The sequence below is a fragment of the Homo sapiens genome, chromosome 13, assembly GCF_000001405.40.
Source record: "Homo sapiens chromosome 13, GRCh38.p14 Primary Assembly".
In the NCBI taxonomy this organism is placed as follows: Eukaryota; Metazoa; Chordata; class Mammalia; order Primates; family Hominidae; genus Homo; species Homo sapiens.
Window position 1 is genome coordinate 35,557,889 of NC_000013.11, and position 23,214 is coordinate 35,581,102.

Consider the following 23,214-nt stretch of genomic DNA (forward strand, 5'->3'; position numbering starts at 1 on the left):
TATTCAGTGGACAGAATTATCATACCTTCTGTGGAGTAGAGAATTATATATAATATTGGAGCCTTAGAGAAGAGCCAGATTATAAAGAGGCTTTTAGGAGTCAGTATAGTGTTAGAGTAGAAGGGAATGCGATGTGGAGTTTTAGAAAAATTAAACTGATAATTATGTATGGCATAAATCAAAATTGAGATTCCTTAGCATTAGTGCTATAAGGGGAGTAGTAATAGTAAATTGTTACTGAATATTTACTATGTACCACATATTCTATTTTTCCCTGACTACAGAAGCAAGTAAAGTATGGTTTCTGCCTTTGAAAAGATCGTAATATAGTGAGGAAGCAGACGTATACCAGTAATTCCACTAAAAAGTATTGGAATGTATAAAATTGTGTACAATTTTATAATGTATAAAAAAGTATTATAATGGGAGTATATGTGAAGCCATTTGAGGTAGTCAAATCTAGGAGCCATTATTTATAACTAAGAGAGCAGAAAAAGCTTCCCATAGGTGACATTTAAATTGGGAATTGAAATATGATTAAGAGTTCACTAGAAAGTAGGCAGAGGGCATTCCAAGAAGAAAATGTGAGGTGAAGATTTTGGATGAGCATATGGCAGCAGGTATGGCAAAAAGAGAGTAAATGACACTTTGTACAATATCATTATACAAAAAAGTTTCACTGTCATTTGTTCTAGTTCAGTGGTTATCAAAGTGTAGTCCCCTGACCTGCACTATTACCTTGGAGACCTGTTAGAGATTTCTGATCCTCAGACTCCTCCTCAAGCCTACAGAATCAGAAGCCGGCAACCTGCCTTTCAGCAAGCCCTCTAGTTGGTTCTGATACAAAAAGTTTGAGCACAATTGCATTAGCCATTTAAGACCTAATTATCAGGGCAAGATTTGCATATAAAACATTTAAAACATAGAAGAAAGTACAGGATTAAGTGCCATTCAGTGTAATAAAAGTTTAGAGAAGTGAGAGATTAATATGAAATAGTCTACTCGAGGAAACCTTGGAAAAGATGAGCTTTAAATGAACTCTTTAAGGATTTTGTCAGATGTAGATGACTATCCAGGCAAAATAAACCGTAATAAGTAGAATGACAATTGAAAAAAATTATGAATATGAATATCCTGAGGTACTCTCCCTGGATATATTCCTATTAATTTAATTCTTCCTTTGCTATCATCCTGAAATTTTAAATAGGAGTGCCAGTTTAAACTGAGCACCAGCATTAAAGACATGGGTGATGGTTTTCTTAGAGAAGCTTCAGTAATGCCATGACTGAATACTTGTTAGGGCAGCAATTAGATTTGCCTGTTTTCCTGATTGGTGGACAGTGTGTATCCATTCATCTCTTCTTATCAAATCACCCTTCAGAGTTCTCTTATGATCCTAAAATAAAGGGTGCTCTAAAGATGTTAAGTTGTACCAGTATCACTTTAACGAACACGGGTCCTAAAAATAATCATACTATTTTATAACACTGTTTTAGGGATACGGTTATTGTTCAGGAAGTATTTATTTCATTTGATTGATTGAAACTTAAGATTTATCATTTCTAGATAGGATGTTAGTCTTCTTTTTGACAAATGTAATTTCTTAGGTAATCTAAAGCCAAGACATGGTTGGCTTATATTTTGTCATAATATGTTTTAAACATTTTTATTTGATATCAAGATTCAGAAAAAAAATAGTATTGTTATTATGTCTTTCTTTCATTTTTCCTATTGAAACATTCCTTGGCCGGGCGCAGTGGCTCACGCCTGTAATCCCAGCACTTTGGGAGGCCGAGGCAGGTGGATCACGAGGTCAGGAGATGGAGACCATCCTGGCTAACACGGTGAAACCCCGTCTCTACTAAAAATACAAAAAAATTAGCTGGGCGTGGTAGCGGGCGCCTGTAGTCCCAGCTACTCGGAAGGCTGAGGCAGGAGAAGCTGAAGCAAGAGAATGGCCTGAACCCGGGAGGCGGAGCTTGCAGGGAGCCGAGATCCCACCACTGGACTCCAGCCTGGGCGACAGAGCGAGACTCCGTCTCAAAAAAAAAAAAAAAAAAAGAAACATTTCTTTGTTAATAATAAGAACTCAGAAAAAATAGTAAATAATAGTTTATGACTATTGAATAATTTATAATGTGCCAAACATTGTTCTAAGGACTTTATATATATTTGCTCATTTAATCCTCACAATAGCCCCATGAGTTAGGTTCTGTTCTTATCCCCATTTTACAGAGATGAGGTAGAGAGTAGCTAAATAACTTGGCCCAAGTCATAGGGCTAATAAGTGACACAGTCGGGATTCAAACCTAGGCAGTTTAGCTCCAGAGTCTTCATTCAGTTACTACAGCGTACTGTTCCAGGATATTCCTGGTACCATACAACTTCACCTCCAGTCACCAGCTTTAACTTATTAGCTGCTTTTAAAACCTAAATAATTAATGATTTAAAACAATTTTGTAATTTTCTTTTACATTTCATCAAATTAACCCTTTGAAATTTATTTACTGTCATGACTTTTGTAGATACTGATATTCTAGTACTAGATCTGGGCCTGGAATTACTATCTTTAATGTAGAAGCTGGCACTGTTTTCAGTTAAGCTTTAGATCAAGAGAAAAAGACTCTGAGACAGAGATTTGCTTGAGGATTTTTATTGAAAAGCCCTTGGGATCAACATCTGTGGGGGAGTGAAGAAGTTAGAACTGGGCAGAAGGAGGATTCAGACCTCAGTGCAGTTGTGACAAAGGCTTCAGTAGATCCCACAGGGTGCCTGGGGCTGGGGTAACCGTTCAAAGTTGTCTTGGCTTGAGGCAAGGGAGCCAGGTCTTCATTACCTCCACTCTGCAATCATTGGATGCAGACTCCTGGGAAGGAGACATGACTGGATTGGGGGCTTTCTTCTAATGGTAGCAATTCTTCGAGATGGACATAGCTGAACACCACCAGCCATGAACACCACCAGCCATCATTGCTCCCAGCATCCACCATACCAGCAGTTCTCAGACTTCAGTGTATCCAAAGCAGGATTGCTAAAACCCTGATCTTTGGTTCCCTACTGCCATAAGTTCTGATTCAGTAGGCTTGGATTGAGCCGCAAGAAGCTGCATTTCTAAGAACTCCCCATTTGATGCTGATGCCATTGATCTAGGGACCACACTTTGAGAATTACTGCCCTATATCTATATCTTTAAAAGACATACCTAAAAATAATTTTATTAATCTTCATATAGCACCGTCAGTATCACACATGATGACTCTTATGATAGGGCATCCTTAGCATTTTATGTGCATTTTATCTTCCCAATGAGAAAAAAAGTTTTGCTCAGTAAATACCCATGAAATTAAGTTACTTAATATTTATTTTTGTAAATATTTGCAGGATGTTGTGATCTATTATGTAAATTCACTAGAATTACTGGACGAGGGATTCTTTAAACGTCTTGGATTAAAGAGAAGTGTTACAGAATTGGAATCTGGTTGACAAGATGAAACAATCTTTTCTGGCTTCACATGTTTAAAAATATAGGTCAATGTGACCTAATAAATTTCATATTTTCTATAAATATTATCCACAAATATTCTATAAATAATTCTAAGACTTAGATTAAAACAGTACCAAACTGTACATTATTATTACACTCTCAGATTTATCTTTTTTCCCAAAAATATTATTTTAGTATGAAATGCAAAGTACATTTTATGACCCATTTCTTAAAAGTGTCTCATACTTGACCAATTTCACTTTTCTCCTTTCTAGATGCTTTTAAAAATAAGATTCTGTATAAAGCACATGGTCTCAGTATCATAGTATTAATGCATTATGCAGACTTTTTACACCCTCCTGTGGTATGTGTACATGTGCATAATTGCATATAAATAAACACACATTTACTGTATGTAAGTTTTGTAAAGATACTTTACATAGAAGTATCTTGCCAAAAGAAGCTTGCCAAATATCCCGGAAACGTATTTAAAAGACATCTAAAATCCCATAAATGTGTTCTTAGGCTTTGTTTTATTCTATTTATAAATTTAATGAATGTTCATTATAGAAAATTGGAAATACAAAAAATGGTAATTTTAAAAATTAAACCACTCAAAAGTCTAACCGTAAATATCACAGTTGACATTTGGGTGATTTTTCTGTTTTTCATTCTCTGTGTGTGGTGTGTCATTGGGAACCTGTAATGTATACAGGTTTGCTTTCTACTTTTTCCATTTCACTAAATATTCTTTGAAGGCATGACTTTTAAAACTACATGAGAGTCCAACCTAGAAATATGGCAAAATTTCTTTAACTATTTTTGAAACACTTGATTTTTTTCAAAGAACATTAAATTTTAGATGATTGTGTAAAATAATCTTAATGATACTTAGAGTTCTACTAAAAATGTGGTTTCAACTTTCAGTTCCCAAATTGACCTGATTTCTGTTTGTTTTCTGAAAAATACAACCTATGCCTTATTTTATACCTTGTTAGATAATATTATGCAAAAGATATTAAAGCCTGTAATTCTTGCATTTTAAAAAATAGGAGAGTAACCGCTAACACGGCTTTGTGTAAATGATCCCCTGTTAAACTTGAGAATTTTTTTTAAGGATTTTGAGTTGTTTTTCATATGATCAGCTAATGAATTCAGCACAACTTCTCCAACCCCAACCTTTTTCTCCTGTTTAGCATTTTCCACTTTTTTACTCTGTGATGAACAAGCCCTCCCTGGTTAATTATGTATATATTTAGCAACTGCATGTGTTGGGCTTATTATTGTCATCTAATTAGATGTAACTTGAACTGCTTGCTTCTAGAAAAATCATTAAAAATTCTTTCCTAATGACCTAGAGATGACAAAATGTCTGTAAAGTGTGAAGAAGCAGACAAGCACAGGAACATCGCTCTTAAAGAGTGTTAATCCAGATGCTGCCATCATCTAATTAAACAATATTTTGCTGTCATTAACATTTTCACCAAGGAATTGCAGTTATAATTTCTTTGTCAGCTGTCTCTAGATCACTTTACCTTCAAAACCAAAGTGCCATATAAAAACATTAAATTGGATGGTTTAATTAAAAAGTTTTTTTAATGAAGAAACATATCCAGTGTTTCTGAGATCTCATTTACTGTTTCACTTTTATTATTTGAGTAGATTAGTGTCATAGGCTTGCGGTATTTAATATTCATCTTCCAAGATAAATTCTTATAAGCATAGTTAGCAAAATAAAGTGTATGTGTGTGTGTGTGTGGAGATAGATAGATAGATAGATAGATAGATAGATAGATAGATAGATAATCTCCACACACACAAATATATATATTTACTTACCACTGCTGGAAAAGGAAAGGACCCTACCAATTATAGCACCAGTGTATTTACTAAATATCAACTATCCTAAAGAAAAAACAAAACAATTAGTAATTAAACATCTAGGTATGCCAGAGCCTCATGAGTATTACTTTGGAAATAACTCATTTTTTGGATGATTTAATGAACAGTATTTTTTTTCATTTCACAAAGGTGTTCAGTAAAATAATTAAAGGAGTAATACTAATTCATGATTAAAACATATCAATGCAAAACCCCAAAGTGCCACTTCATCACTCTTTTTTTCCATGTAACATTAAATACATTGTGCATTTTTAATTCAAATCAAATACATATATGACTGTCCATTTTACAAGGCTCTTATGCAGAAATTTTTATTAAAAACAAGCATTAATGTCATATTTATTTATAAAGTTTATTATATTTATTAGAATTAAAATAATGCTATAAATCTCTGCTAATTTAAAAATTACTAAAATTTTCTTTTTAGCACTTATTTTCAAAGGACCTCTCAAAGATTATTGAAAGTGAATTACAAAAAAAAATGCAGGACAGAATAATAGACATGAAATATGGCTATTGGCATCATTCATTTTGTGTATACGTGTGTGTGTATTTTTAAATAATGCTTTTCTTCTTTGTATTTTTTTCCTAAAATAGCATTATTTTTTTTTTAACTTTTATTTTAGGTTCAAGGAGTACATGTGCAGATTTTTTATAGAGATAAATTACATGTCATGGGTGTTTGGTGTACAGATTACTTTGTCACCCAGGTGATAAGCATAGTACCCAATAGGTAGTTTTTGGATCCTTACCTTCCTCCTTCCCTCTACCCTCAAGCAGTATCCTTTTCTTTCTTAGAAAATCATTTCTATTAAAAAGGCTGGTGTCTTCAAATATAGTCTACATTTTTATGCTGTTTGCATTGACACAGTACATTTAAATACTGTGTTTATGTAAATTGGCTTTTTAACAGTTTTCCTTAATATATAAATTATAAAACTTCATCAGAAATTATTTTAACAATTGTGGTTATCTGATTTTCATCTATCAATTAATTTATTTAAGTAATATATGTTATATCTAGATAGGTAGCATCAGCATTATTCTATTAAAAAAATATACACTGGAATACTTGCTTTTCATTAAAATCTACAGATTTTTAAGTAGAACAGCTCCCCCAAGAAAATGGAAGAGCTCTAAACTCTGCCATGGACCCATTTAGGATCCCAGAAATAGCTCTGTCTAGCCAATCTGTACTCTTTGTATATATACATATAAAAAAAGTACTGAGCCCTATCAGGTGTCCTAGGTTAGCATACATATGAACTATTAGTAATAAATTTTCAAGTTTAGAATTGTACAGCTTTTATTTTACAATATTGGTACTGTTTTAGCAGATTATTGTCATGTCAAAAGACTTTAATATGGCTCCGAACTCTTGTTTAATCTCATCATTAGTATTATTCACCATAGACTTAAACACAAGCAGGTTCATTGATTGCTTGAGCTACCTAGCTGTAGATGTTTTCTTCTCGTTTAATGTAGACATTCACAATATCATTCTCTCTCATATATACCTCTACGCCTTTGCATAATCCTCGTCTTCTAAAGATAATGTTCTGCAGTTTTCCTTTACTTGACTTATATTTGTTCATCTTCTGAAATTTGGGTCATTTTATTCCATTTTTATCACATGCATATCCATTCCATCAACAAACATTTATTGGGCAGATGGCATATGCCAACACACAGAGATTAAAACAAACAAACAAACAACCCAGCCCTGACATTTATGAGTTTACAGACTGGTGGAGAGGCAGAGAAGTAAACAGCAATGTATATCAGGTGTAATAGAGGTCTGTATGAGAACTGTGGTGAGGCAACACAGGGGAAGCCCTAACCTAGCTGTAACCTCATCCCAGTAAATGCAAAGTGGAAGCAACATTCTGCTGCCATTACCCACACCTATATTACATACCCACACCTATATTACATACCCACACCAGTTTATACATTTAAAGCAATATGCAGTTTAGTTGTAAAATGCAAAGCTTCATATAATAAACAGATAAAATAGTCATCAATAAAGTGTTTTCTAAATATATTAATTAATTTGGTTTGGTGCTTGCAATTACAGATTTTGGTTCTTACTCAGATTGTAGTTCTTTTTTTTTCTATTTCACAGTTATGTTTTCCAAATGCTGTAAGAGCAGATATCATTTAATGTAATTTCCTGATGATGAACAAGATAATATCTGCATATCTATGCTACTGTGATAGTACATGTGGTGTGTGCAACCATGGCATACTGGATGAAACTCATATCACTAAATACCAGTGAAATAGCTGTTTTGTGTGAATTTTAATGGAAATTTAGAAAATTACTGATAATTGGATCATAACGCATTTTTATAAAAAATAATTTTGTTCAACAAAAGTTTTCTTAGGATCCTGTTTCTTTAATAGCTATTCTCTTAATTTCACCTGATCATGTTTTTTCAGTTTCAGTTTATGAGGGGGGGCCGCAGCTTGCTCCCCTAAACTTTCCCCATTCCCACTGTGCCTCAATATCATACCTGAAATATTTAAGTCATTCTACCAAAACATAAGCAGACATATTCACCCTAAGATCGAGCAGTTCTTCGCTAAAGTGAAACAACATAAGACAAAAAAATATTTCATGAACTTAAGGAGTGAAAAAATGTATGATTGACATCTGCCTCTGTAGTTTCTCATCCTAGCTTCAGAGTACTTCTGTCCACTCGCAAATTCTCTGCATTCATTCTTGATATAAGTTTAACATAGTATTCTGTGTACTCATAATATAATTTCTAGATATATATTCATTATAATAGAATACCATCACAGCCAGGTGCAGTGGCTCAGGCCTCTAATCCCAGCACTTTTGGAGGCCGAGGCAGATGGATCACAAGGTCAGGAGTTGGAGACCAGCCTGGCCAACATGGTGAAACCCCATCTCTACCAAAAATACAAAAATTAGCCAGGTGCGGTGGCGCGTGCCTGTAATCCCAGCTACTCAGGAGGCTGAGGCAGGAGAATCGCTTGAACCCGGGAGGCAGAGGTTGCGGTGAGCCAAGATCGCGCCATTGCACTCCAGCCTGGGCGACAGAGGGAGACACCATCTCAAAATAAATAAATAAATAAATAAAAGATAAAATAGAATACCACCACATAAGCTGCAGATGTGCAGGTCAGTGGGGTGACTTCCTCCATAATTACTTTCAGGGCCTCTGACTGGCAAGGCTCTGCTTCCGGGGTTGCAATATTATCTACATCAGCAGAAGAGAGATGAGACACACATGCAGGAAGTTTCAGTGGGCCAAGTCTTGAAGAGACTTTGCTCACATTCTGTAGATGAGAACTAAATCCTGTGGCCAGAGCTACTTGTAAGGGAGGCTGAGAAATGTGGTGTAACACAGGAAGAGGAGAATCAATTACAATAACCAGCCAGTAGCCTCTATCACAGTCTTATAAATAGTAATTCTAGTTACGTCTTAAAACAATTATTGAGTGAATTCCCTTGAAATGCATTGTTATCAGAGTTAAAGATACGGTTCAATAAATAAAAAGTTATTTTCTTCTGAAATTCAGTAGATGCTTTGTAAAAACAGAAACTATTTCATAAGCATTTTGTGTGTACAAATTTTTATTTCTGTTTTTCTTTACTAGGACGGACATATAATGATCTGAACCAATATCCAGTGTTTCCGTGGGTGTTAACCAACTATGAATCAGAAGAGTTGGACCTGACTCTTCCAGGAAACTTCAGGGATCTATCAAAGGTAACTTTTAAATATATAGAAGTCAGCTTTCTTCATAAGGCTATAGTCTAATAGTATTTCTGTCAGAGTATATATAGCCAGTTAATGTTTGTAAGAAGGTGAAACTGATTATCTTGACTTACATAGTCAGTTTCTAAATCTTACCAATTCTTAGCACAGGAATTAAGCTACAAGAAGATAAACTAGTACTAGCATAGGCAAAATGAAATGGGTATTTGAGAAACAGCAGATGTAGAGAGAGTTTTCTCATATATCCTAGGCTTTAAAGTCAAGGTTAAAAACCTAAAATTAGTAGAAAATATGATGGCAAATCATTTATGTGATATGTTCCTTAGATGGTAAGACATTTATATTGACCATAAAATACACACATTGTAGGGAAATATAATACTGAAAAGAAAGTCAGTTAATTTTACCAAGTGTCTGTCTATATATGAGAGAGAAGATATGGCCCAAAAGATGGCAAGAAAATGGTGCATAACGGTAATGAGAAATAAAAGGCAAAATTTTTATTAGCTCACCTCATTTGTCCAGAGGAAACTACAGTGTGATACTAAACTGTTTGAAATTCAGTGAAGAACTGGGAACTAAGCCCAAAAAGCTGCTCTATAGTCTAAGCTTACGCCAGAGGCCTGCCTTAAAGTTTATGTATGTTAGCCATAGTAAAGCCTCAGCCCATTGACTTGGAATGTATCTCTGTTTTCTATCAGACTTGATTGTCTGATTTAGCAATCCACAGAAAGTTGAAAGGTATTTGTGTATACATTTGGTTTTAGGGGGCAGGTTTAAGGGGCTAATTGACAAGAGCAGCATAAGCCCTGTGATTTAGGGAAACAACATTACAGCTGATTTAAAATTAATCCCACAGATGGTTTTTAACTCAGCATGCCTGCTTCTGCCCCTTTTCTGGCCTTTGAAACCTAGACGTACCTAAGTTGAAGTTCTATATTGCACTAGTTACTAGCTCTGTGACCTAAAGCTAGTTTCTCTTGTCCCATTTGTAATATGAGAATAATAATACTGTCCCATGTCAAATAGTTGTACAGATCTAATGACATGTACATTTAAAAATTATAACATAGTACTTGGCACATAGAAGCACTTCCTGAGTATTAAGTATTATTGTTACACATGGAATATTTCTTAGCCTCTTTTGAAGACTGTTTGCTAGTTTTTTCATGTTCTTATGCGTCATTCAGTATCCAATTCTTTTATTTTATATAACTCCCTATTAAATTTTAGTTGATAGCTCATGGATAATTTTAGCTGTGGTATTATAGATGTTAAAGGGACCTAAAAGATCAGTTAGCCAACATCTTACTGAGAGTCACACAACTGGTAGAAATAAATTGCTAGCAAATGAATTCTAATACGCTTGCAAATATAGTAATTCTTCCAAGGTGAGTCAACCAAAAATTCTTAACTATTTACCATATTCAGGTAACTAAATTATTTAAGATAAGGTAGATAGAAGCATTGTAATTCATGCAGCCTGCCCTTCAGGAACAAATCTAGTTATAGATTATCTAAATAATAAGATCAGTCCCCCAAAAAATTAAAAATAAAGTACAATATTTTAGAGAGACCCACACAAGAGATAATACATGCAGGTTGAGTATCCTGTATCTGAAATGCTTGGGACCAGAGTGTTTTGGATTTTGGATCTTTCTGGATTTTGAAATATCAATATATACATTATATACTTACCAGTTGAGCATCCCTAATCTGAAAACCCAAAATCCAAAGTGCTGCAGTGTTTCCATTAAGCATCACATCAGTGCTTAAAAACTTGGATTTGGGGCATTTGAGATTTCAGAATTTTGGATTAGGGACAAGATTAGGAACAAGAACTCTGCAGCTAGACTGCCTACATTCAAATCCTAATTCTGCCATTTACCAGCTGTGGAGCTTTAGACAAGAGTATTAGTTTCTCTTTGTCTTAATTTCCTCACCTATATAATGAGACATCAATAATAATAGGGTTGTTGTGTGGAGTGGTGGATGGGTTAATAAGCATAAAGGACTTAGAATAGTGCAGGGACATCAGTATTAGCTAATGCTATGTATATGACAATAATAGAGTGGTGAATCATTGATATAGGCCATATGCTTTGAATTGTGTTTCAAATAATGATGATGAATATATGCTACTACATACATATTGGATGAGAATATTTGAATGGCATGCATGACTTGCCAAGGTTGAAGTGTAATTTTGGGGTGTAAAACAAAAACCAAACTAACTTATTGATGTGAGGATGAAAACTGTCAAACTAGTTCTTTGACAAAATCTTGTCTGCATGTATTTTATTTAACATAAATTGAATAGCCATTACTTAGACATTATAAAATATATATACGATAAAAATTCAGAGTATAGATTCTCAGGTAGCATATTACAACCTCGTACGATGACTACTATTATGGCTATTGTATTATTTTTAAAACAAGGAAGGAAGTTCTTTTTATTTAAAATCAACTGGGATGTTGTGTTTAAAGGAAACTTATAGACTGAAGCTCCTTTTTTTCTCTCCATTTATTTATTCTTTCAGTTGTTCAGTCAACAAATATTTATCACACATGTGCTATATGTCAAACACTCTACAAGTGAAAGAGTGTACAGGAGTGAATAAAGCAGACATACTCCCAGCCACTTGAAGGGAGTTCAGCCCAGAGCAAAATGAAAACTCAGATAGTTAACAGTAATATGAGAGGCCAGCATTTACAAGATAGGTATAGTAGGGACTGTGCCTCACTGGGGAGTACAGGCTCAGACTCACTAAGACATTTGGACTCAAATGTTCTTGAAACACTGGCCCAGCCAAAGAAAATGTGGCACTCATTATGATTAGTATGGGTTATAGAAGGCATCTGGTAACATATTTGCTGGTAATCATAGATTTTTTTCATTTATCCATGTAGGAAAAAATGAGTTAAAATAAATGAGGAAGTCACTGTTTCTACAGTAACTGAAGATATAAACATTTCAAGGTTTTGTTTGTTTGTTTGTTTGTTTGTTTGCTTGCTTGCTTTTGAGACGGAGTCTCGCTCTGTCGCCCAGGCTGGAGTGCAGTGGTGCAATCTCGGCTCACTGAAGCCTCCTCCTCCCAGGTTCAAGCGATTCTCCTGCCTCAGCCTCCCAAGTAGCTGGGATTACAAGCTCCCACCACCAAACCTGGCTAATTTTTTTGTATTTTTAGTAGAGACAGGGTTTCACTATGTTGGCCAGGCTCGTCTTGAACTCCTGACCTTGTGATCTACCCACCTCAGCCTCCCAAAGTGCTGGGATTACAGGCGTGAGCCACCACGCCCAGCCCATTTCAGGGTTTTTATGCTAATCTGTGTAATGTGTATTTCCTTTGGCAGAGCTTTTCCTTTTGTGCCTCACATGTGCTCCTCTAATTTTATATAGTGTTAAGTAAATAATACAGGTAAACAGACGGAGCCTAAATAAATTAGGCAATGTGACTACAAACTGTAGTTTTGCAAGCATGTAGTTCTTCATGCTGTGAACAGTTGAATCCATGAGCTCTTAAAAGATAGGTAGCTTTTCTTCCAATTTTACTATATTCTATGCTTTAGCAATTTGTTCTTTCTATTCTGTCACCCTAGCATGATAGGAAAATGTTAGCAAATTAAAGCCTCTTGATATGTTAATAAATTACTCGTGCATTGTTCCCATGCTTCATTGAATTTCTTAATAGGAGCTTCTTACAAATGAGCTAGAAACCTGAGACTATCCTGTATAAAATCCATCAATAAACAAGATTTTAATGTATGAAAATATATCTTTTTATATGCCTAATGGGAAAATGACATTTGAAGTATAATAATATAATTGGAAGGAAAAACTACTATAGTGCAATATTATCACAATGAAGAGATGTCCACTAAGAAGCACATGAAGTTCTTGTAGTTATAATCAATACCGCAAATGAAAATTTTAATGGAGAGTTTCTTACTCTTCAGAAGCTCAAGGAAAAATTGAAATACTTGAATGATATGACCAAGAACATTCTAAAAGATCTCTAACAACAAAAGTAGTTGTTTCTAAACAAACACTGGGACTCCTGATCCCAGTAATAATTCTTAGCAGTGAATAATTCTAGAATTTGTTTCAATAAACATGTGGTACCCCAAATACTTTTTATATTCCTTACTATATGAAAGAATTAAGAAACTATGAAATGTACAATGCCAAAAAAATAAATATTTATTTTCTTTCTTTATACCACCACATTACACAGGCTTCATGAAATTCTGTGTTGTATCAGTTGGGAAACTTCTGAATGAAAGTTTCAGAAAACACAGCTGAAAGTGGCTTGAACAATAGTGGGAATTGGGAGAAAAAGTCAAGAGGTTGTAACTGGAACATGAAAAGAATGTAGGCTTCGCTCAAATATTTGTTTCTGTGTCACATATTGTGCAAATTTAAGATGTTTTCTAAATTCTCTGAACTTGTTTTCTCATCTTTAAAATGAACACAATCATACTTACATAATAGGGTTGTTGAAAGATTTTAACACCGTAAAGTAGTTAAGGCACCTAGTATAATGCCTGACACAGAAGTGGCATTCAGTGAGTGGCAGTGACAAAGCAAATTTCCATAATTGTCATTTGAGAGTTCACTATCTTTGGTATGATTGACAAAAACCTACTGAAGGTTATTTGATTCCTCTGATTTATTTTTTATTCTAGTAAGATTAAAAATTAATGCCATTTAATAAAATATTTTAATTCAATAAATAATTCTGTTTTATCATCTATTTGAGTTATCAAATTATCAAAACTGTAACATCAAAACACTAAGGTTATATTAAATGTTTATTAGAACTTTAGGTGCACATTTATTTAGACTGAAATATTTTATATTTATAATATTCTTACTTGTTCTTTGGCCCACTTAATTGAACATTCGAAGAGCACAGGAGCAAAAAAAAAGTTCTTTATCAGTAAGATTTTTTAGACCTCTCATTTGATTAGACATCACAGGTTCAAGTTTTATTTATTATGTGTACAGGTTAGGGGCTATGTTTATTGTTTGACATGAGGGTCAACAGATGAAACAATCTGCCTTTGACCTATCTTTTCAACACCAACCAACAGTAGGTTTAGAGATTTCCTCCCCACCCCATTTATATAGGTATTCCTTATGGAGATGTAACCTTATGGTGAAATCTATCTTACAACATGATATATGCTAGGGCTTCAGTTATTTACATATACTCATATGAACTCGACTCTTAAATTACAGTGGTTACATGACTTTGATGTGAAGCACAGTCTCTGCTCATTAAAGTGTAAATAGAATTTTCCTATTTCCCAGTCATGCCCTCTGATAAGTGAAATAGTTTCATCACAAAACCAAGTCCTACTAATATTGACATGAACATAAGACATCACATACACACACCCATTCATCGAGTGGAAAAAATATATTTTGTTAACACAGGAGTTGTTTGACTGACAGATGATGATAAGCATAACCATTTTCCCAAATTATTATGCCACTTAATAAAAGGAAGTGATAATGCCTTGAGGCTTTGAAATGTGATAATGCAAATGGATGCACTGAAGTGTGAATACTCTTCAACCATCCACCCTCAATACTTCCAAATGTCTATCTACCACACAGAAAAGAGTTTATATTGGTAAGGTGGGGAATGCATGACTCAGCAATCTAGAGCAAGTTGGGTTTGTTGTTGTTGTTGTTGTTGTTGTTGTTGTTGTTTTTGAGATGGAGTCTCCCTCTGTCACCCAGGCTGGAGTGCAGTGGCATGATCTTGGCTCACTACAATCTCAACTAGAGCAAGTTTCTGTGGTTATTTTATCTTTCTTTTTCACTGTAAGTTAACAACATCTAAAATGAAATTAATTCCATTTACTTGATCATAATCTACCTAATGCTTAATTTTAAACAACAAAATATGAAGTATGGGCAAAACTACTAGGTGTGTTAGTGGTAGGATGATACAAAACTAAAAGATAAAAGTGTAAATGTGTAAATATAATTATATACCATCTGCCAAATAACCCTGCTGCCAAATTTGAAATAACTTGTTTCAATGTATGTTGAATGCTGCCTTAACATATAATCCACACTATGTTGAAAATTGTTTTCATTAGACTTGCTAATATGGCAGTGCTGAGGGACAAGGTATTGACTGGCAGTGTTTGGATACTGTTTTAAACTCATGAGATATTCATTTATTTAAATTAATACTTTTATTCATTCACTCATTCTTTCATTACACAAGCATTTATTGCCAACCTACTCTGTGCCAGACACTGGAGATACAAAGGCAATAAGACTTAGTTCATACCTTTAAGAAGTTACAGTCATTGTTTACCCAGTGACATATTAAGCTGTTCTCCTTCTAATTGAAAAAATGGAAGAACCAAGAAAAGTGCAACTAAAAAGGTAGACTTCACAGACACTGGTAACCAGAAACAGTGAAGTGTTTTTGTGTTTGTTTGTTTATATCTCCAGTGTTGCTTGTTGGAGACATAATAGGGTGACAGGGAGCTTTATAGATTTATACAGAACTTCCAAAGCAGTCCTAGGCTCTGTTTGCTTATACTAAATGTCTCTTTATCCTCTTTTCTTGTTCCTTCCCACTTAGCCAGCTGAATCACCCTTTCAGAAAAAGAGAGGGAAAAAAATCCTATAGAGCCTGTTTTGCTTTGAAAATTTTAGGCTGTTAAAGAAGAAACTGAAAACAGCAGGAACACTGTTTAGTGTATGCTCTTAGAAGAATCCTACCTATGGAAAGGAAAAGAGAGCCTGCTTTATGCACTTTAATTTCACCAGCCACATGTCACCTCTGTGTCTAAACCACAGCATTATCATGCAAAACTAGGCCAAATTCAGTCTCCTTTAACCTTTCTTTCCAGCTGAAACAAAATATTAAGCAGTTAGAAGTGATCTTGAAACTAATTTGTAGCCCCATCATTATCCTTCTACTTAATACCTGGAAAACTTCTAGAACTAACACATGAAGATTTAAGATGCTCTACTGTTTGTAGGTGAAAGTATTTACTTTTCACTAAGATATATAAAACTAACTTTCTTAGGAACTATCTTGGGATAATGATAATAATAATAGCCAATATTTTGCATGTGTTTATTATATGCCAGGCATTGTGCTAAGCATCTTACATGGATTTTCTTGCTTTACCCTCACAACGCTATGATGAGTTGCACTGGTTATATAGATTGCATTTTCTTCCATTCGTTACCTATTATTTCTCCATAATACATAGGTAGGATATTCTTTAAAAAAAAAAAAAAAGCTAGTGATTAATTTCTCTTCTAGATGCCCTCTACCTTTTCTAAGTGCCCTGGCAGTTTTTATACACTATCAAAAAAAAAGAAAAACAAAAGAAAAAAAACAAGGAAAGAAAAAGAAAAAAGAAAAACTCTCCCTATTATCCAGTAAGAATGAGTTCTTTTAAAATATCCTGCACAATGCTCAGTCATGTCAGATATGAGGAGAGGAGTCAAAAGAAATGCGGTCAGTGAGCCATTCCACACCTCCAAAGTTTTCAGTCCTATGTGGGACTAGCATTCCTGTGAAAGTGCCTAAAGCTGGATGTGGTGGCTCACGTCTGTAATCCTAGCACTTTGGAAGGCAGAGTCAGGAGGATTGCTTGAGGCCAGGAGTTTGAGACCAACCTGAGCAACATAGCCAAACCCTGTCTCTACAAAAAATTAAATTAAAAAAATAAAGTGCCAATAGATTTTTTTTTTTTTTTGAGTTTCGCTCTTGTTGCCCAGGCTGAAGTGCAATGGTGCAATCTTGGCTCCCTGCAACCTCCGCCTCCAGGGCTCAAGCAATTCTCCTGCCTCAGCCTCCCCAGTAGCTGGGATTAAAGGCGTGCACCACCACGCCTGGCTAATTTTTGTATTTTTAGTAAAGATGGGGTTTCACCATGTGGGCCAGGCTGCTCTCAAACTCCTGATCCACCCGCCTCGGCCTCTCAAAGTGTGGGGATTATCGGCGTGAGCCACCATGCGGCCAAGTGCTAATAGATTTTGCTAATCAAATTGCAACTTTAGATCAAAGATGATCTTTCTTCATAATATACTCAATTCCACCCTATGAAAAACTATAAAAAGAAACACATTTAATTAATAGAAAAATGTAATCTTAACACTTCTCTTTATTATCGTTTCATGACTTCAGGTTCTGTTCCTTAATAATGTATTTGAAAATTGTGTACTGATTTGCTGAAGTTCATCTGATGACAAAAGGCCATATTAAGCCAATTAACAGTATAAAATTGCAAAGGGAATGTTTAATCCACACTTACAAGAACGTAATTTTAACATATTTTAGAGAAACAAATTTTCAAGTCATTTAAAGCATTCTTATTTAGAACAACCCAAAACATAGGAAAGACTTGGATTGATTGGAAAGGTTTTGTTTGTTTTTGTACTCTATTTTAATTGATTTTGACTTTACTATGAAAATTTTTAAGCAAAGAAAAAGTACCAATTCCTAATAACAATACCCATTAACCAATACCTACATGTTATAATTATTGACAGTTTAGCTTTTATTGGTTTACTGAAGTATTTTTAAATAAATTAAATATATCATACTTTACCCCTAAATATTTCAGTGTGAAAAATAGTATTTTCCCATATAATCAGATCACCATGATTATATCTAACAAAACTTATGACAGTTCCCTAATATTATCTAACACTGTGCCTATAATCAAGGTTTTCTAATTATCTCCCATGTGTCTTAAAAATTGTTTTGCTTAAGCCAGGATTCAGTCAGCGACCACACAGTACATCTGATTCTTCTGTCTTATCTGTCTAAAGGTTAGAATAGCTCCCAGCCACCCTAACACCCCCACCTTTTTTTTCATGATATTGACTCATTTAAGAGAGCATGCCAGTTATCTTATAGAACATAACAATAACAGCCAATATTTTGCATGTATTTATTATATGCCAATGCTAGGCTTCTGAATTTGTCTTTTTGTTCCTCGTGTTGTCATTTAACTCGCTGTAACTAGTAAGGTTTTGATGTACGCTGATTCAAATATCAATGAAGATTGATAATAGAAGTTTTTTGTTTTGTTTTGGTTTGGTTTTTTTTTTTTGAGACGTTGTCTCACTTTGTCACCCAGGCTGGAGTGCGGTGGTGCAATCTTGGCTCACTACAACTTCCGCCTCCGAGATTCAGGCAATTCTCCTGCCTCAGCCTCCCAAGTAGCTGAGATTACATGTGCCCACCTCCATGCTTGGATAATTTTTGTATTTTTAGTAGAGATGGGGTTTCATCATGTTGGCCAGACTGATCTTGACCTCCTGGCCTCAAAGAGATCTACCCACCTTGGTCTCCCAAAGTGCTGGGATTACAGGCATGAGCCACTGCCCTGGCCAATAATAGAAATTTATATTTGGAAATATTTGGTCAATAACACTAGCCAAAATATAAAGTTACTATAGTTAATTTAAATTTATCAAAGTTAAAATGTTCACATGTGAAATATATTTCTGGGTCATATAATTCTAAAAGCCGACTAAAATTATCTCTATGAGATAAACCAAATTCATGATTAAACAGCAAAAAAAGAGTATACAGGGAAGACTAAAGTCTCCACATTCTCACTGCCCAGAGACAACTGTTGATATACTGTCATATATATTCTTCAAAAAATAAATTATACAAAGTAGAATTACTTGATCAAAACTATATGATTTTTTAAATGTTACCAATTTTCCCCACAAGAAATTTATACTGATTTATTTGCCAATAGCATTATGAGATATCATGTTTTCCAATACTGAGTATTATAAAACTTAATAATTTTTGACAATCTAGTTAATAAAAATAGTTTTTGTTTGACATTTTAACAATTGTGAGTGTACTTACGACTTTTGATTACATATAGTAGAAAGTCAACTTATACTGGCTTTAATTTAAAATAAAAATTTGATTAGCCCATATAACTGAGAAATCCAGGGATGGGTCAGTTCAGGAAAACTGGATCCAAGTGCCCACCAGAATTATCAGGATCCACACCTCTGTTACTTTTCTACATTGGCTTCATTCTCAAACAGGCTTCCCTGTGTTACAGTAATGATGTCTTTGTAACCCCGCTAGAAAAAGAGAGCTTTTCCCAGATAGTTGCAGCAAAGTTTCATCCGATCAAGTTGAATTACCTGTCCATTTCTGCTGCAGTCATAGTGCCAATGTGGATAAAATATTATGATTGACAGGTCTAGATCCCATGCCCACCCAGGGAGTCAGGTAGCGAGGTCAGCTCACCTGCACCAGGTAGACCAAGAGTGGGGAAGGAATGGTTCACAAAGGTTGAAGGCATAATGAATGCTAAACAGAAAAAAAGAATATATATCCATTACATTGTAGGAACTGGTACTATTTTTTCTTATATATATTGGAAATTGGCATTTATTATTCTGTGAATTGCCTATTCATCATATCATTTCCTCATTTATTTAATTAGATTGTTCATTAGCTTCTTATTGATTTGTAAGAGCACATTTTTAAGGAAACTAGCTCTTATGTGCTATGAATATTTTTCACTTTGTTATGTCTTTCGATTTTTGCATAAAATTTTTTTCTAAAATTTCCACATGGAAATTTTATATAATATTATATAATTGGGTCAATCAGTCTTCATTCATTTAGCATTTATTGCTCGCTTAAAAAGGTTCAGGTACTGTAGGTGTGAGAATAAAGAGATGAATAAAAGACAGGGAGTTTCTTCGAAGGGCTACACTACTGGGTTAAAAAGATGAGAAAGTTGCCTATTACCAGATGGTGTCATGTAAGGCTTTACAGATGCAATTTGAAAAACCTCCAAAATAATGAGTTGAAGTTCCTTAGATAAAAAGGGAGCCCGGGAATTTACTTGAGCACAGAAGTGTCTGTAGGTATGATTTCTATGTTGTCATAACAGAATTTTCAGAATGATGACAGGTAGTTCATGACTAAAAAACAAAAAAGGTAAGAACTCTCAAAGCCTCTTCTAAGGATTTTCAAGCCCTTGATTACAAAAGATAACACGATAACTTAGATATGTTAGCAGTTCAATGTCTTAAAAGTATTGAGATAACTAAAAGCTATTGTTAGAAGCCAGACAAATGAGTCAAATATACCCAGCTTCAAGCTGTATCTAGCACAGAGCTGCAGCTGGTTCTGTAAAACGTCTAGCCACTGACTAGCAACATGATCTTCATTTGACTTTTCTTCAGTGTACTCATTTGTAAGAGATTTGGTCAAGTTTACCTGAATGTTTCCTTCCATTTCTGTGGATCTGTGAGGAATGAGGAATTAAGTAGGAAATTATGAAAGAAAAAAGTCACATCAAGGGCCGGGCATACTGGCTTATACCTGTAATACCAGCACTTTGGGGAGGCCAAGGCAGAAGGATCACTTGAGGACAGGAGTTCGAGACCAGCCTGGGTAGCATAGTGAGATTCCATATCTATTGAAAAATAAAGTCACATTAAGATCAGAATTTCATATTTAGCAATGAAAAAGCAGTGCAGTAGTGTGGAATGTGGAGACCCAGGTACCTGTTTCCTCCTCATGAAATTAGGTTCGTATTGAATGCCTTGCTGACCTCAGATACTTATGAAAATCAGTCTAGAAAATGGATGTGAAGACAATATGTTATACAAATATATAGTATCATCAGCAGTTGTAATAGCAGTAGTGAACTCTTGAACATTTTATGTGTGCAGGTTTGAGTATTCCTTATCCATAATGCTTGGGACCAGAAGTGTTTCAGACTTCAGATTGTTTCAGATTTCAGAATATTTGCATATACACAATGAGATAGCTTGGGAACAGATCCAAGCCTAAACAAAAAATTATTTCATTTCATATACACCATATTCCATATAGCCTACAGGTCATCTTAAACTTTTTTTTTTTTTTAACAATTTTGTACATGAAATGAAGTTTGTGTTAAGTACGTATGTGTGGAATTTTCCACTTATGGTGTCATGTTGGCATGCAAAAGGTTTTGGAATTTGGAGCATTCCAGATGTCAAACTTTTGGATTAGGGATGCTCAACCTATGTAACAGTAGAATCCTAGTACCATGAACATCATTACCATTTTCAGTTTTTTATGATATATTAGAATTCAGTGTTATTGACATTGCTTTAACTAGGCCTCTGATTTGTCCTTGACAAACTTTTTTTTCTTGAAAATTATAATGTAGTTTGGTGACATTGACCATTCATCAGATCAATCCACATTTATTTATTTGTATTTGTTTAAATCAATAACTCTGTGCTCAGACTTTTATGTTCTCTAAAAGTTCTTCTGATGTCTCATATAATACCATTTATCCAATATGTTTTATTTATATAATTTTTGTGGTCATTTTTACTTACTAAATTTATATATTTTATACCTGTCCTAAGAAAAGGGCTTGGTACAATATGCAGGTTTAAAAGATAGAAAAATATTGGTAAATCAAGGCTAAGATGACAGAAAGAGGAAACAGCAAAATGAAACTAAAGAAAAAGTTAGCATGCAGAAATACACATCAAATACATACCAGAATGTTTCAAGGTACAATCTAAGGTATTGCATCTAAACAGTTGTTTTAAAAACAAAAGAAGTATGTATTTCCCATTAAAAATTTTAAAAAATAAGCACTGGAATAAACACATTTAAACAATTATATTTACTATAGTATTTATCAGAGCCTTAAGATCACGTAAATCCCCACAAACATCTGGTAGGATTTTTGTTTCATGTAATAAAGTCACAAAGGTTTTTATTTTTAGGAAAACCAAGCTTTTTGTGGCACTGAAGTTTGAGACAGATTTCTCTCTTTGGTCTTCAAAACAGGGAAACTGAGTGATAAGAGTAGAGAAAATTCTCAGCATTATTTCTTCACTAACTACAGTAGTGTTTCATGTGAACATCCTAATGCTACACATGTAATTTCCCGTAGATTTTATAAGGAATGTGAATTTTTTTACATTAGTCACTTCTTTGATTCTTCAATATTGGAAACAGTGCCTTTTTGCAAGCTATGTAGGCTTTTTAGCAGTTTTAAAAACTGAATTATAATAATAAAGTTTTATAGGGATAGAAATTTTATTTTTCATTTTTGCATTTTTTGCACCATTTTTTCCTATTTGTTAAAGTGTTCACCTGTAACATAAAAGCTAAAAAAGACAAAACAGCAATAAATCTAAAAACAGGCTTTAAACTTTCAGTTAAACTTTTGTATATGGTAACACTTAAAAAGTGCGGAAGTCACTGTATCCAAATGCCCACTGTTTGACAGAAAAGGACACTATTTATTGATGTAGTAACTATAATGAAAATTGAAAAATATTGCAAAGTAAATTTATAAATTTTATTAAGTGTAGCCTTACCTTTTGACCAGAATTCTTACCATATTCATCTGCCAAAATCAGATGATATTGACATTGCAGTATTTGCTAAAATTTTTGAAGTATAGCAAACTTACAACCTTGTCAGTATGTAGGTAAGTAGGTAATTGATTGATAGATGGATAAATATGATATGATAGGTATCTATTAGGATCTCTTAAGCAAATGTCATCTATGACAAAATTCTTATTTCCCCAAACATTTGGAAGCTTTTTGCTTTCTAATTATTTATTGCTGTTTGACTGTTAGAAGCAAAATGATAGAAAAATATTAAGTACAAAGCAAATCACTTGCATTATGTTTCATAAAAGTAATTTCTAACCTTATTAGGTAAAAATTCAAAATTAGAAATACATTTTAAGAAGTTACTAATGGAGGCATATACAGACTTTAATACTGTGCAACTGTTTCCTACAAAGCATTACTCTGTAAAACACTGCAATAACATGACTTTGATGAAACTTGTGTAAAATAAAAAATATAAGTATTTACTTTTCCTTTTCCAGAAGTGTAAGAGAAGATTGAAAAAGATTAGAGGAAGAGACATGCTCCTTTTTAAAGAATGTTTTGTGAGATTTTACAGGACAAACAGTATCAGTTAAGATCAAACCTTAGGGATTGCACAGACATTTTATGCACGTGAGAGGTCTATTAGCATATTCACGACAGAACAAAGT

General features: G+C 34.1%; 1 protein-coding gene across 15 annotated transcripts in view; it reads left to right on the top strand.

Moving 5' to 3' along the window:
- The window catches only part of NBEA (neurobeachin), a 730,467-nt gene that overhangs the window by 615,619 nt on the left and 91,634 nt on the right, over nucleotides 1–23,214 (top strand). For all 15 annotated transcript variants that reach the window (XM_047430271.1, NM_001385012.1, XM_006719803.4 and 12 more), the window contains one exon: nucleotides 9,017–9,129. In XM_047430271.1, the coding sequence (XP_047286227.1) occupies nucleotides 9,017–9,129 (113 nt within the window). The remainder of the gene's footprint in view (nucleotides 1–9,016; nucleotides 9,130–23,214) is intronic.